This window comes from Homo sapiens, chromosome 2 (genome assembly GCF_000001405.40).
Source record: "Homo sapiens chromosome 2, GRCh38.p14 Primary Assembly".
In the NCBI taxonomy this organism is placed as follows: domain Eukaryota; kingdom Metazoa; phylum Chordata; class Mammalia; order Primates; family Hominidae; genus Homo; species Homo sapiens.
In genome coordinates this window covers 73,056,398-73,071,540 of record NC_000002.12, presented here as the reverse complement: position 1 = coordinate 73,071,540, position 15,143 = coordinate 73,056,398, and the positions used below count along the sequence as shown (strand labels likewise).

The window sequence follows — 15,143 nt, the reverse complement described above, 5'->3', positions numbered from 1 at the left end:
CCAAAGTCCCCTTCCGCCCAAGGGTCTCCCACCCGCGGCCAGCGGAGCCTGCAGCTAGCGCCAGGGGGGGAACCTCGGTCACAGTCACCCTTTTCCCATTGGTCAACGGGGCGGGCGCGGACTCCCATCTTGGCTTCCTATTGGCCCTTGGCGCCGTCACTCCCCGACTGCCCGCGCCCTCTAGCCTTTCCCGCCCGCGGCGCCCTGTGATTGGCCACCGGCGGCTGCGGTCAAGGTCCCGAGCGCCCGGCTTCGAGCGGCTGCTCAGGGTCGCTCCGGGTTGTGCAGCTGCCCGCCCGGGACGCAAAGTTCTAGTCTGGCCCTGGATGGGAAGTTGGCGTGGCCGGGATGCCTTCTAACTTTTTCCCCCGGTGGGGACTGACGTTCCTTTCGAGCTGCTGGCGGTGCCGCCGGGCAGCGTCGCGCCCCGCGGTCACTCCCCAGCCCTGGCCCCCAAGCCGGGCTCGGCGCGCGCAGCAGGTTGAGGGGGCGAGTGCCGAGGCGAGCGGCGGTCCGGCGTCCCCCGTCCCTGCTCTCCATCTCGGGCTGAGGATTCGCTGACGCAGCAAGCCGGCCGATGCCCTGAGGGGACGCAGCCAGGGCGTGCGGGGGAAACGCTGTGTCATCCCCTGGGGCCGTCGTCCCTCCGAGGGGCTGCCGCCTGGGAACCCCCCCCCAGCCTCTTCCTCGCTGTGTTCTCCGCGGAGGGTCTCCCGCGCCCGGGCCCCCGCGCCGCCGGGGACTGGCTCTGGGCACACCCGCTCAGGCTCTTCGGGGCACGGCGACAGGGGTCCTTTCCCTCCGGGACCTCCTCTGGGGCGTCGCCGACTCGGCCCTAGACTGCGGAGGCGGGGGTGGAACGCGGAGCCCGGGCGCCTGGTTGGGCCCGGAGACCGGAGCCGGGGAGGGGCCGCTCCCGCGCCGCAGACCCTCGGGCTCCCGCGCCTCCCGCACCAATGAGACGGAATTTATTAGGAAACAGGCAGAGAGACCGCTGAAGTGAACCGGGGCTTGCCAGGGGTGGGCGGCAGCCGAGGCGGCCAGAAAAGAACTTTGAAGGAAGAAAGGAAATTGTGCTAAGGTCGGTGCGGTGGCTTTTTTTTTCTTTTTTTGTTGTTGTGGTGGAAGGGGACTGGTTCCAGCAAGGGGGTGCCCCGAGCTTTGCTGATAATTAGGGAACTTGGCTCCTGAGCCGTCTGAAAAAAATGTCCCCAGTGTTTCTTAACAGGACTTTAATTCCTTTTAAAAGTAGGCCATCTCAGCATGTAGGTATCCGAGGCGAGACTGGCATCTTCCTTCCAGTGTAGGAGGCCATCTAGGGCGAGAGTGTCGGGGTGTCCCTGCCTGGACTTGAGTGACCTTATTACATTGCCTGTCCCCGCTCCCACCCCCATTCTGCTCGTTCTTAAAGGCTCAGTCGGGCCTGCCTCTCTGGCAAACACTTGCTCCCTTCTTCTCTGGTCCCATCAGATCGCAGGCTTCCTCCTGCACATCTCTTTGGCCACCTGAGTCAGATCCTCATAGCTCTCCATACAGTCTGCCCTGTGGTCTTCTAAATGTTTGCTGTGTGACGACTTGGTTTCCTCAAACCCCCTGTAGGCCTTTTGCAAGAAGGGGCTGATCTTGCCCTTCTCTGCCTCTGTCTTACCCTGATGGAGACAGGTTAGGCATATAGTAATGTGCCGAGTAAAAGATTTGTGTTTCCTTTTTTTTTTTCTTTTTCTTTTTGTCCTGGTGTCTGTTATCTGTATGTGGCACTAGGGACATTCAGTGACCTAACAGACATTTATCAAATACGTCTTAGTGGCTTATATGACTGAGCCCTGTGCTGTGAGCACTGCTCTAGAGCCATAGATAAACATTTTAGGCTACCCTGTTCCTGCAGCCATAGCGGTACTTCTTTTTGGCACTGCTCTTGAAGGCAGTAAAAGTGTTTGTTGTATGCACTTTTGAAGCTCCCCTCCTCCAGCATAGTGGCCTGCATAAAGCACGTTGCATGTGATTCATCCATGTTAAGGATCTTCTCTTTCCTCCATATCTGCTCCTCCCGCATGGCTCCCTGGCTCTGCAAACAGCCCAACTTGCCACCCAATCAATGCAGCCAGAAACCTGGGAGCCGCCTGTGTTCTTTCCTTCTTCTCCCTCACCCTTTAAATGCAACCAGAGGCCCAGTGATCTTACCTCTTACACAGCTCTCAAGTCCACCCATCTCTACTGCCAGAATCCTAGACCAAGCCCCCATCGTCTATTTCCTGGGTCACTGCAGTAGCCTCACAACAGGTCTCCCTGCTTCCACTCTGGCCCTCTTCCAGTCCTTCCTCTTTCTGCAAGTCAGAGTCCCAACAGTGCAGATCTGATCAAGGGACTCCCTACGCCCTTGTAGATTTAAATACCCTCCAATGGCTTCCCCTGCTTCTGAGATAAAGACCTCACTTCTGAAGGGGCCCCCAAAGTATGCATGGCCCACCCCACTGACTACTTCTTCCTTGAATCCCACCACCCACCCACCCACACTTCGCACCCTCCTTCACATCACACTGGCTGCTTTTCAGCCTCTGAACCCACCACGTTCCCTCCCACCACTGGGCCATCTGCTTGGAACATCACCTCTTCCTCTACCCCCAACTCTTGTTCCCATTCTTCCTCATCCCTGGTGTATCCATGAAGCATCACTTTCTTGGAGAAGCCTCCTGCACTCCCAGGTTGGATTTTTGAGTGTTCGCTTACTGCAAAGTACCTTTCTCGGTGTATACATTGATTTGTGATGAGTATTTCTTTGCCATCTGTGTCTCTCTGTTGACTATGGACTTTGCAGAAGTGGGGGCTGTGCCTGTCTTTACTCCCTGTTGACTCTCCAAGGCTCAGCACAGTGCCTGGCAGTTAAGAGGTGCTTAATGAAGATTTGTTATATACATGAATATCCTGGAGACAATTCAGTAGGGCTTTGCGGACTTGAATTAAATTGACTTGTAAGGTTGTGACTGGGGAGGTGGACCAACTTTTCTCCAAATTGTCCCTTAGGGATCTTACAAAATTGCAAGTGGTGTCATGTTTGACAGTGTAAGGTTCATCAGTGCTGAGACATCCCAGAGTTGGGGTGTCTCTAAGGAGGTGAGTCTAAAGACACAAAGGTTGGCTACATATGTACTGGGTTGATGAGCTCCTTTAGGGCCCAGCCCACATCTCTGTGTCCTGCCCTGGCATGTAATAGTTGTGTAATATATATGCTCATAGTACCTTGTGCTGGCCTGACAGAAGCCTGCTTCAAGGTGGTTGATAATCCAGGGTTCATTCCCAGCACCCATGCCAGGGACATGACCCTTATTCCCCAATTAATCTCACCGCTTTCTGCAGGATTTGTTACCAAGGTCTTTCCTTATTCCCTGGAGTCGCTCTAGAACTCCTCTTTATTCCCTCAAGTGTCTCCCTGTGCAAGAGGACGGGCAGAAAGAGGGTGGAGGGTGTGGAGGGTCAGAGTGTGAAGAAAGGGTGATGAGTGTTGGTGGTCTGTGACCATCTTTCTCCCCATAAGATGGTGACGATAGCCAAGCATCATTCCAGCCTTTTTGTGTATTGACTTACTGAATTTTCACAACAACCCTGTGAAGCAGGTGCAATGATCTCCAATTTATGGGTAAGAAAACTACAGCACACAAACAGATTAAGTAAATTCCCAGGCAGTCTGTCTCCAGAGTTCATGTTTGTTTGTTGGTTTGTTGTCAACTTTTTATTATGGAAGTTTACAAACATACTAATCTGGAGACAGTTGTCAGTAAACCCCTATGCACCCATCATCCAGCTTCAACAGTTGCCAACTTAAAGCCGGCCTTGTTTCATCTATGCACCCACCCCCCACAACCCAATCAATGAATTACTCTGAAGCAAAGGCCAAACATCCCATCATTTCATTGAACCCACTAGTAGGTATCTCTAAAAAATAAGGACTCTTTGGTTAGCTTTTTAAAAATTTTTTTATTTTGGAATAATTTTAGAGAAGTCAAAAGACAACAAACAATTCCTGCCTAGCCCTCACCCATTGTCCTCTGTTATCATCTTGCATTGCCACAGTACATTTTTCAAAACTAAGAAACTAACATTGGTACATTATCGTTAACTACACTCCAGACTTCATTGAATTTTACTACTTTTTTTTACACTAATGTCTCCTTTCTGTCCCAGGATCCCATCCAGGAACATGTTACATTTAGTCATCATGTCTCTTTAGCCTCCTCTGGTCTGCGGCAGTCATAGTACCTGGGATAGTTTCTCAGACTTTGCTTGTTTTTGATGACCTTGACAATTTTGGAAGATATTTTATAGAGTGTCCCTCAACTTGGGTTGCCTAATGTCTTTCTTTTGGGTTTTGAGGTAAGAATATCACAGAGGTGAAATGCTCTCTTTATCACATGATATTGGAGGGTTTTTTGATTTGTTTAACATAACCATGTCCTTAACACACCTAAAATCATTATTTGTTTTTTCTTTTTTTTTAGAGACAGGGTTTCTGTCTGTCACCCACAATAGAGTACAGTGGAACAGTAATTAATGGCTCACTGCAGCCTTGAGCGCCTGGGCTCAAGCAATCCTCTGGCCTCTACCTCCAGAGTAGCTGGAACTACAGGGGTGTGCCACCATGCGTGGCTATATGTATTTTTTGTTTGTTTGTTTTCTTTCTGTTTTTTCTTTTCTTTTCTTTTTTTTTGTAGAGACAGGTGTCTTGCTATTTTGCTGAGGCTGGTATCAAACCCCTGGCCTCTAATGATTGTTCTGCCTGGCCCTCCCAAAGTGCTGGGATTTACAGGCATGAGCCACCATGCCTGGCCCATTAATTCTTAATATCATCAAGTAACCAGTCGCTATTCATATTTCCCTGACCATCACTTAATTTATTTGTAGTTGATTTGTTTGAATCAGGATCCCATAAGTCCCACATATTATTACCTTTGGGTATTTCTCTTTTGTATCTTTTATTTTTTTTTTTTGGAGACAGAGTCTCTCTCTGTCGCCCAGGCTGGAGTGCAGTGGCATGATGTCAGCTCACTGCAACCTCCGCCTCCCGGGTTCAAGTGATTCTCCTGCCTTAGCCTCCTGAGTAGCTGGGATTACGGGCGCATGCCACCATGCCTTGCTAATTTTTGTATTTTTAGTAGAGATGGGGTTTCACCATGTTGGCCAGGCTGGTCTCAAACTCCTGACCTCAGGTGATCCACCCGCCTCGGCCTCCCAAAGTGCTGGGGTTACAGGCGTGAGCTACCACACCCGGCCTCTTTTGTATCTTTTAATCTGTTAGTTCTGTCTTCCTTTTTTCCCTTCCTATTGAAGAAGCAGTTGTTCGTCCCTGTAGAATTCCCCACCTTCTCAATGTTGCTGATGGCATCTCTGTGGTAGTGGTTAGCATGTTCCTTTATCCCTTGTTTCTCCTGTAAACTTAAAGTCTATGCATTTAACCACTACTCCAGCTGCCTAGTGAAAGGGAGGAGATGACAGCACAGCACCCAGGGAACCTCTGAGACCTGCTTTGCTTCCTTTCCTCTTCCTTTTCTGGTCATTTCCTCTCCTGAACTCACTGTTTTTCCTTCCGGCCCAGACACCATGTTTGCCATGTTGGGGCCCCAGGACAGGAAACAAACACACATACTTTCTCCCATTTGTGTTTCAGTCCATCTGTAAATAAATTGTTGTCCAGGACCAGGCGCGGTGGCTCATGCTTGTAATCCCAGCACTTTGGGAGGCTAAGGCGGGCAGATCACTTGATGACAGGAGTTCGAGATCAGCCTGGCCAACATGGTGAAACCTGTCTCTACTAAAAAATACAAAAAATAGCCCTTCAAGATTCCCCCACATGGCCAGGCACAGTGACTCATGCCTGTAATCCCAGCACTCTGGGAGGCCAAGGCGGGCAGATCACTTGAGGTCAGGAGTTCAAGACCAGCCTGGCCAACATGGCAAAACCCTGTCTCTACAAAATACAAAAATTATGTGAGCATGGTGGCAGGCGCCTATAATCCCAGCTACTCAGGACTGAAGCAGGAGAATTGCTTGAACCCGGGAGGCAGAGGTTGCAGTGAGCCGAGATTGCACCATTGCACTCCAGCCTGGGCAACAAGAGCGAAACTCTATCTCAAAAAAAAAAATTGTTGTCCAGGTGCAGTTGGCTCATGCCTGTAATCCCAGCACTTCGAGAGGCCAAGGCAGGAGGATTGCTTGAGGCCAGGAGCTTGAGACCAGCCTGGACAACATAGTGAGACCCCATGTCTACAAAAAATTGAAAAACTAGCTCGGCGTGGTAGCATGCACCTGTAGTCCCAGCTACTTGGGAGGCTGGGGCAGGAGGATCCCTTGAGTCCAGAAGTCTGAGGCTGCAGTGAGCTATGATCACACAACTGCACTCCAGCTGGGCAACAGAGTGAGACCCTGTCTCAGAAAGAAGGGAAGAAGTTTTTTAACAACTTCTGGCGAGGTGTGGTGGCTCATGCTTGTAATGCCAGCACTTTGAGAGGCCAAGGTGGGCAGATTGCTTGATCCCAGAAGTTTGAGACCAGTCCAGGCAACATGGCGAAACCCCGTCTCTACAAAAAATATAAAAATTATCCAGGTGTGGTGACACATGCTTGTAGTCCCAGCCACTCTAGAGGGTGAGGTGGGAGAATCACCCGAGTCCAGGAAGTGGAGGTTGTAGTGAGCTATGATCGTGCCACTGCACTCCAGCCTGGGTGACAAAGTGAGACTGTGTCTCAAAAATAAAACAAAAATTCCTTGCTCCTTTGGAAGTCTCACTTATCTGCTGAGATGACTGGGGGTATGAGTGTGCTGGGGACCAAGGCCTAGTGGGGCAGAGCAGGCTGGTTGCACAGGGCTCCCTCTGGGGTATGGAGAGCTTGCTGGGCAGACAAATGCTTTCTTCACTTCAAGGTTGGGAGATTTGTGTGGGCTGAGAGTTGGGAGGCAGGGGGGATATGTCTCATAGTTTGCTTGAAATAAAGTTCTAAAATCACAGTACCTTGCAGGTGGTTATATATTTTAATCATTTACTTCCTATAGGCGAGACAGTGAGTTTTTTCTAGTGCTGCTCCTGGGCTGGTTTGTGCAGTGGAGAGGGGTCATAATTTCCAAGAGTCACACTGGGCAGGTTTTAAAATAGACACTGATGCCTGGAGGCCACACCCAGAGCAATAGAATCAGAATCCCTGGGTGTATGGCCTGGTTTTTGAAGTACCCAGGTGGTTCAGGGTGCAGCTGATTCAGGACTACTGGGCTGGCCCAGCCTTTCTGCTTTGGGCTGTAGGTTCAGCGAGTATATTATTCCTAATCGAAGAGCAGTAATTTGGAGGTCTGGTGTGTGTAGTTGCGGGGCGGTGTCAGCTTCTTCTGGGATCTTTGCCCTCTGCTGCTGCTCCCAAGGCCTGCTCTTCCCTGGGGGGCTTGCAGATGGGAGAGAGCTGGCTGGTGGAGGTGGGAAGGCAGCTGCTGCTGTAGGCCCTGGCTCCTGCTGAGAATTAGCTGACTCACCTTTCTTATGAAGGGAAAGAGAAGGAATCACTTGGCTGACTCATTCTTCCAGTAAAGAAAAAGGGGAGGAAAAACATCCACCGATTGTGCGATTGGGTAAAGATGGGAGCTGAATTTGGGAGGGAGGCTATACATTTTGAACTATTGAGAAAATAAAAATGAACTGAGACTGAGAAAGTATAACCTTCCTTGCCATTCATCAGACAGGGAGGACAGACACAGAGCCAGCTGCAAAGAAAGAATGTTTCTCACGAGGACCCACAGGATCTATAAAGTATCGAACAACCTTCTTCCAGTAACCACCTCTTTCATACTCATGTCTCACTCTATAAGGTCCTAGACTGCCAGGAACTTTGCTGTTTAAGTCATATCATTAGGAATGAACCATCTACCTCTTGATTGGCAGGTCTAAGTCACTTTGCCTCGGAGAATCAACCCATAGCTGCAAATAAGGGGTTTCTGGTCACAACGTTTCTCATTAATCTTAACTTTATAGTTTTTAAGGAAACAAGACCCTGAGTGGTTGGTCCAGACCTATGATGACTCCTTTTCACACAGTCTTGCTTTGCTTGGAGCCTATTGAAGCACTGCTTCATTTACATTTTACTCTATCTTCCTTAAATTATATACCAAATATTTTTCTTTGTTTGGCAAGGCACCCCATAATTCCTCTGCTGTGGTGCTTTTCTTTGTTGAGTGAGTCAGTAAATCTGACTTGGTCAGACTATAGGTTTGTCTCTATAGTGGGTGGGGTGGGGGTCTTAGGGCAATCTGTACCTGACATTTCCAATTCAGAGTCTCTTTCTTGAATCTCAGTCCAAATGTTTGCTGAAAAATTATATCTGGAAGTCCCTTTAAATATCTCAGACTGATATGACCAATACAGAGTTTTTATCTTCTTTCCACTTAATCAGTATGCTTCTTCCTGTCCCTATTCTGGTTAACAAACATTCATGTCTCACTAGAAAGTGAGGCATCATCTGTGGCTGCTCTTCCTCATTTCCCCACAGTCGGTCAGCCTTGCTACCTCCAGGACCTAGCACAGTGCTGGGCACACAGTAGATCCTCGGTAGTGGGTTGAATGATGAATGAATGAAGAGACCACAGGAGTCTGGTGCAGCTTCTGATCCTAAGCTTTATGCTTTCATCCTCTTGCATATACCCTCCTCTGCTAGGTAAACTCATCCATCCCTTGGTCCCAGCTCCTCTGGGACACCTCCTTGACTTAAACTAGGAAGACATAGGAAGAACTCTGTGTGTCCCCAGTATACTTCGCGATGCTTCATTTAAACTCTGATCAGTGTTTTGTAGTTACTTGTTTATAGTTATTAGTCTGTTTTGATGGGCTGTGAGCTCTTTGAGGGCTTGTTCATTTGGTGTCTGTCCCCTGAGCCTAGCTCATTAGGAGTTTGTAGGTGTCTGTGGAGCAAAATGCCTTATCTGGGAGTCTCCCCCAGTAGCTATGGTCGAAAGTGACACAAGAAGGCTGGCAGGGCTGGGACAGGATGAAGACCGTGCCAGACCATAGGACAAGTCAAAGGCTGAAGTTTCTGCTGGACCATCTTCAAGAAGTTGCTTCACTCAGGCCATTCTACTTCCAGGTTCTCTCCTCTTCCCCTGCTCATCCTCTTTCCTCCTTGGACCACTAGCTGCCATACTGTTACCCTTTCCTAATCCTGCCCTCCCTTCAAAGCCCAGCCCAGCTCTACCCCACCCAGAAGCCTTGAGGCCATTGGCTGCTCATCAGCCCACTCATGGATTCCTGTGGCAGAAGACCCTTCCTTCCAGATATGTAAGGAGACTTCGAGCCAGGGAGGATAAGGAAGGAACATTCAATAGCCCATGTCCTTCAGGAGCTCTTAATCAAGTATAATACTTAAAATATCAGTTCATGTTTTACTTTATTTTATTTTTGGAGACAGGCTCTCACTCTGTCACCCAGGCTGGAGTGCAGTGGCATGATCATAGCTCACTGCAGCCTCGAACTCCTGGGCTGAAGTGGTCCTCCTACCTCAGCCTCCTAAGTAGCTGGGACTACAGGTGTATACCACCATGCCTGGCTAATTTTTAAAATTTTTTGTAGAGATGGGGTTTCACTGTGTTGCCCAGGCTGATCTCAAACTCCTGGGCTCAAGTGATCCTATCACTTCAGCCTCCCAAGTAGCTGGGATTATAGGAGCAAGCCACTGTGACTGGCTTGCATTTTACTCTAAATATGTATTTTTAAATGTAATATCATTTCTGTATATTAGGTATAATATTGATTTTTTTAATTTCAAAAGCAATTTAAAGATCTGGAAATATAAATCATACATAAGCCTATTACCCAGAGGCAATCTCTATTAGCATTTTAGTATATTTTCATCTAGCTTTTTTGAAAATATAATTTTTACCTTTTTATTTTGAAACACTTTTAGTCTTACAGAAAGGTTGCAAGAATAAGGAAAACTTCGCTATTTGCCTAGATCTACCAATTTTTAACATCACATTTCCTTTATTATTCTCTTTGTCTACAGGTAATCATAAAGTCTGAAAAGATAGCAAATATACATGGTATCATTAGGACATCTTCAATCTGCATTCAATTATAGTATCTACATTTCCAGGTTTTATGGCTGCCCTGTATTTTTACACATGTTATTTTTCTTCAACTATTTACAAATAGGTTGTATTCATTCATCTCCTAATACATCAGAGTATGTGACTTTTTTTTTTTTTTTTTTTGAGACAGAGTCTTGCTCTGTCGCCTAGGCTGCAGTGCAGTGGCGCGATCTCTGCTCGCTGCAACCTCCACCTCCTAGGTTCAAGCGATTCTCCTGCTTCAGCCTCCCAAGTAGCTGGGATTGCACTACCACACCTGGCTAATTTTTATATTTTTAGTATGGACGGGGTTTCACCATGTTGGCCAGGCTGGTCTTGAACCCCTGACCTCAGGTGATCTGCCTGCCTTGGTCTCCCAGAGTGCTGGGATTACAGGCATGAGCCACCACGCCCGGTCCAGCATATATCTTTTAAGAACAAGGACATTCTTGGCCAGGCGCGGTGGCTCACGCCTGTAATCCCAGCACTTCGGGAGGCCGAGGTGGGCAGATCATGAGGTCAGGAGATCGAGACCATCCTGGCTAACATGGTGAAACCCTGTCTCAACTAAAAATACAAAAAAAATAAGCCGGGCGTGGTGTCACTGGCCTGTAGTCACAGCTACTCGGGAGGCTGAGGCAGGAGAATTGCTAACTCGGGAGGCAGAGGTTGCAGTGAGCTGAGATCGTGCCACTGCACTCCAGCCTGGGCAACAGAGTTAGACCCTGTCTTAAAAAAAAAAAAAAAAGAACAAGGACATTCTCTTATATAACCGCAGTGTAGTAATTATATTCAGGAGACTTAACATGGATACAACACTTTTATTAACCTATGGTCCATATTCCACTTTTGTCACTTGTCTCAGTAATGCTCTTGAGAGCATTCCCCCCTCTACGCCAGGATCCAATCCCGAGTTACACAGTGCATCTAGTTGTCTCTTTAGTTTCTTTAATGTGGAACAGTCTCATTCCCACTCTTTCTTTGTCTTTATGACATTGACATATTTGATGAACAAAACCAATTAATTTATGGAATGTCTGTCAGTGTGGGTTTGTGTTGTTTTCTTGTGATTAGATTTATTTAGTCCCTTTGGAATATTATGTGAGTGATGCTGTGGACTTCTCGGGGTATCACATTTGGAAGAACACAGTGTCCCACCTGCCCTTCGTTGATCCTTTTAACATATCCCCATCATTTTTTGGGGGTAAGACTTCATTACTTCCTGGTGCAACAAAATGTACCAGTTTCATCTTGTACCCTCCCTACCCCAGCCTTTGAATCCGCTCCTTTCCTAAGGAACCCTGGTCTCTGTTAGTGGACCAGGATCTGGATGTCATTTGGTCTTTTTGCTTTTCACTTAGTATCTGTCTAGCTCTGTTTATCCCCTTGTTTATTGAGTTGGAATCACACTGCTTATATGCATTTCATAAAATTTTAAGCATTATTCCATGTCATAAATGTTTGAAAACATAGTTTTAAAGGCTGCATAGTATTCAGTCATATGAATGGACCATCATTTATTTAACCATCCACCTTTGTAAAGAATGCAGCAGTGAATATCCTTGGTATGTACACCTGACCAGATCTTTGAACATCTTGGATTGTTTCCTTAGACTACATTCTCAGAGGTGAAATTTTGCCAGGACAGCATTGTGAGCCTCCCTTATGTATGTCTTTAATGGGAAAATGGTCTGGGCTGTGTGGATTATAAGAGGTTAGAGAGGCAGCTGTTTCTGTTAGGAATGGACCAAAGCTTGATCTGGTTTGTGAGAGACAGCACCTGGGTAGGGGTGGCATTAGGGGTTAGAGGTTGCTTCATGCAGGGGTGCCATGGTGGGAGAGAAATGGAGGTGGGATGAGAACTGGTGTGTGGGGGGACTTTGAGGTGACCTGGAGCCTATTGCAGGGTCCTTATTGGGAAGGGAAAGGAACAGGAATTGGCTGCAGGGTCTGGTGTCCTACTAAATAAGGGGAGGGAATGTGGAGGCTTCTGTTTCCTCCACTGTGCAAAGGATGGTGCTTGGAGAGTTGTGGGGCTCCAGGGAGGAATTTGGGGCAGAGCCCGGAGTGTAGTGAGGCATGAACCCCAGCGATTGCAGCTTCCCCTTCATCCCCGAGCTTGGCACCCTCTGTCTTCCCCTTGAGCTCAGCTTTGCCCAGCTGGCTTAGTCCCCAGGGCAGAAGGCCCAGCAGCCGGGTTGCTTGGTTTCCTTTCATTGTGCTCCAATGCCTGTGGCTGCGCTTAGCATAAAGCCCTCCTTTTCCACGGCCCCTGCTCTGGGGCAAGGTTGGGGGAGCTGCCCCTTGTCCTGCACTTCAGCAGCTACAGGGCTGTGGGTGAAGGAGGGCCTGAGGATTGTGAGCTCAGTGCTTTTAGGCTTGAGCTGCCCTTGGGGATCCCCCCTGGAGGCAGAGCTGGACCTTGGGGAGGGACCCTGTGGCGGGTAGGCAGGATGCTTTGTCACTCAAGGTCCTGAGCAAGGCAGGGAGGCTGGGAGAGGGCTGGGGACCAGGCCTCACCTTCAGCCTACATGTCCAGGGATGCTTGGGAGCTTTTAATAGGCTCAGAATAGATCTCAGGGCACTGGGAGAGAGAGGGGAAAATGGAAGTCACCTGGAAGAGCAGATGGGCCTGTCCTTGAGTATCTCAGTGGTCTCTCTGAGTTGACTTTGGAAAACTCTCAGCCCCAGGAAAGCTGTCCTTAGATTTCTGAGGCCTCATTGGCATTTATCACCCACACGAGGAGTCCTGGGGACCGGGGGACCCCAATCATAAAGGGTGGGGCTCTCCAGTGTCTGGAGAAGGGTGTGCAGCAGCTGATCCATTCACTCTTCTCTCTCATCCTCTTCTTCAGACGTCCTTCTATGGCCGCTTCAGGCACTTCTTGGATATCATCGACCCTCGCACACTCTTTGTCACTGAGGTAAGTCATGGCTGTCACCTCAGTGGCCCTTGGGCCTTTGTACCTTGTCATTTCAGAATATGTGGGTCATTAAGGGAGGGTGAGGATGGGGGAGTGAAGAGAATAGGGGAGGTGAGAGGTGAGAGGAAGGTAACAAATTCTCTCTACCTGTAGCTGTCTGTTTATGTATCTGTGTGTCTGTCTGTATCTGAGTTGATACATTGTGCTGTATGCTTTTTACATTATATCATTTGGATCTCACAACAACCCTTTAAGATAGATATTATTGTTATTCTTTAAAACTTTCAAGAAATTATTATCAAGTACATAAGTTATTTGCTCATTAGAAAAGTTCAAACAGTACAAATATGTTTAAGTAGAAAAAAGTATCCTTTAATCGTCCTCCCTACTTAGTTCCCTCCTCTTATAGGTAACAGCTGTTAATGGCTTTTAACATCAGGTTATTAAGGTATAATTTACCTTTCTTATGTGTGCAGTTCTTTAAGTTTTGACAGCCATATTCAGTCGTGTGTCCACCATCACAGTTGTATTAGTCCGGTCTCATACTGCTATAAAGAAATTCCCGAGACTGGGTAATTAATAAAAAAAGTGGTTTAATTGTCTCACAGTTCCTCATGGCTGGGGAGGCCTTAGGAAATGATATGGTGGAAGGGGAAGCAGGCACCTTCTTCACAAGGTGGCAGGAGAGAGAGGAATGGAGGAGGAGCTTCTGAGCACTTACAAACCATCAGATCTCATGGGAACTCACTATCACGAGAACAGCATGGGGGAACCATCCCCATCATTCAATCACCTCCCACCATGTCCTCTCTCAACATGTGGGGATTATGGGGTTTACAATTTGAGATGAGGTTTGGGTGGGGACACAGAAGCAAACCATATGGGCAATCAAGATGTGAAGCATTTTCATAACCCTACATGTTCTCTCATACCTCTTTATAATCAATTCCTCCCTGTCTTCACCCCCTGTCAACCAATCATCTGCTTTCTGTTTCTGTTGTTTTGCTGTTTCCAGAATGTCATATAAATGGAATCCTACAGTATGCAGGCTTCTGTATCTGGCTTCTTTACCTTAACACAATGCTTTTGAGGCTGGGTGCAATGGCTCACACCTGTAATCTCATCACTTTGGGAGGCTGAGGCAGGAGTTATCCTCCTGGGCAACATAGTGAGACCTGCCTGGGCAACACAGTGAGACTTGTCTCTACAAAATTTTAAAAAATTATCCGAGTGTGGTGGTGCATGCTTGTAGTCCCAGCTACTCGAGAGGCTCAGGTGGGAGGATTGCTTGAGCCTGAGAAGTTGAGGCTGCAGTGAACCATGATTGTACCACTGCACTCCAGCCTGAGTAACAGAGTGAGACCCTATCTTTTAAAAAAAAAATGCTTTTGGGATTCATTTGTGTCATTGCATGTATTAGTAGTTAATCCCTTCTTACTGCTGAGTAGTGTCCCATTGAAAGGATGTTCCAGAATTTGTTTATCCATTCACTTGTTGATAAACACCTGGATTCTTTCCAGTTTTTTGGCTATTATGAATAAAACTATATGAACATTCTTTGTGTGGATGTATGCTTTCATTTCTCTTGAAGGAATAAGAATGGGATTGCTGGATCCTATGATAAGTGTGATAAATATATGTTTAACTTTATCAGAAACTGCCAAACTGTTGTTCAAAGCGTTGTACATTTTACATTTCCATCAGCAGTGTATGAGAGTTCCAGTTGCTCCACTTCCTCACCAACACTTGCTATTGTCAAATTTAAAAATCTTGTTTTATTTCAGCCATTCTAAGAAGTATGTCTTGACAGACTTTTTGTTTTTTGTGTTTTTTTTTTTTTTTGAGACGGAGTTTTGCTCTTGTTGCCCAGATAGGAGTGCAATGGTGTGATCCCAGCTCACCGCAACCTCTGCCTCCCAGGTTCAAGCGATTCTCCTGCCTCAGCCTTCGAAGTAGCTGGGATTACAGGTGTGCGCCACCATGCCCGGCTAATTTTGTATTTTTAGTAGAGATGGGGTTTCTCCATGTTGGTCAGGCTGGTCTTGAACTCTCAACCTCAGGTGATCCACCCACCTCAGCCTCCCAAAATGCTGGGGTTACAGGCGTAAGCCACTGCGCCTGGCCTTGACA

The 15,143-nt window shown here is 47.6% G+C and overlaps 1 protein-coding gene across 21 annotated transcripts in view, besides 2 other annotated features; it reads left to right on the top strand.

Annotated features, from left to right (window-relative positions):
• Positions 1-15,143, top strand: part of SFXN5 (sideroflexin 5) — a 129,677-nt gene that overhangs the window by 172 nt on the left and 114,362 nt on the right. For 10 of the 21 annotated variants that reach the window (NM_001371738.1, NM_001371743.1, NM_001371742.1 and 7 more), the window contains exon 2: positions 12,945-13,013. The exons of 1 other annotated variant lie outside the window; for it this stretch is intronic. In NM_001371738.1, coding sequence (NP_001358667.1) covers positions 12,945-13,013 — 69 coding nt within the window. Of the gene's footprint in view, positions 1-216; positions 1,082-12,368; positions 12,534-12,944; positions 13,014-15,143 lie in introns of those variants that run through there. 10 more of the 21 variants (NR_138476.2, NM_001330411.2, NM_001330405.2 and 7 more) reach the window with 3 other exon arrangements.
• Positions 101-890: a silencer, noted in NCBI's record as "silent region_11631". NCBI's record gives its function as "represses an Ori minimal core promoter by ATAC-STARR-seq in GM12878 lymphoblastoid cells {active_cell/tissue: GM12878}" and the evidence as "EXISTENCE:reporter gene assay evidence [ECO:0000049][PMID:35858748]".
• Positions 12,350-12,850: an enhancer, noted in NCBI's record as "H3K4me1 hESC enhancer chr2:73285820-73286320 (GRCh37/hg19 assembly coordinates)". NCBI's record gives its function as "activates a minimal SCP1, AML or CMV promoter by ChIP-STARR-seq in naive H9 embryonic stem cells {active_cell/tissue: H9 hESC(naive)}" and the evidence as "EXISTENCE:reporter gene assay evidence [ECO:0000049][PMID:30033119]".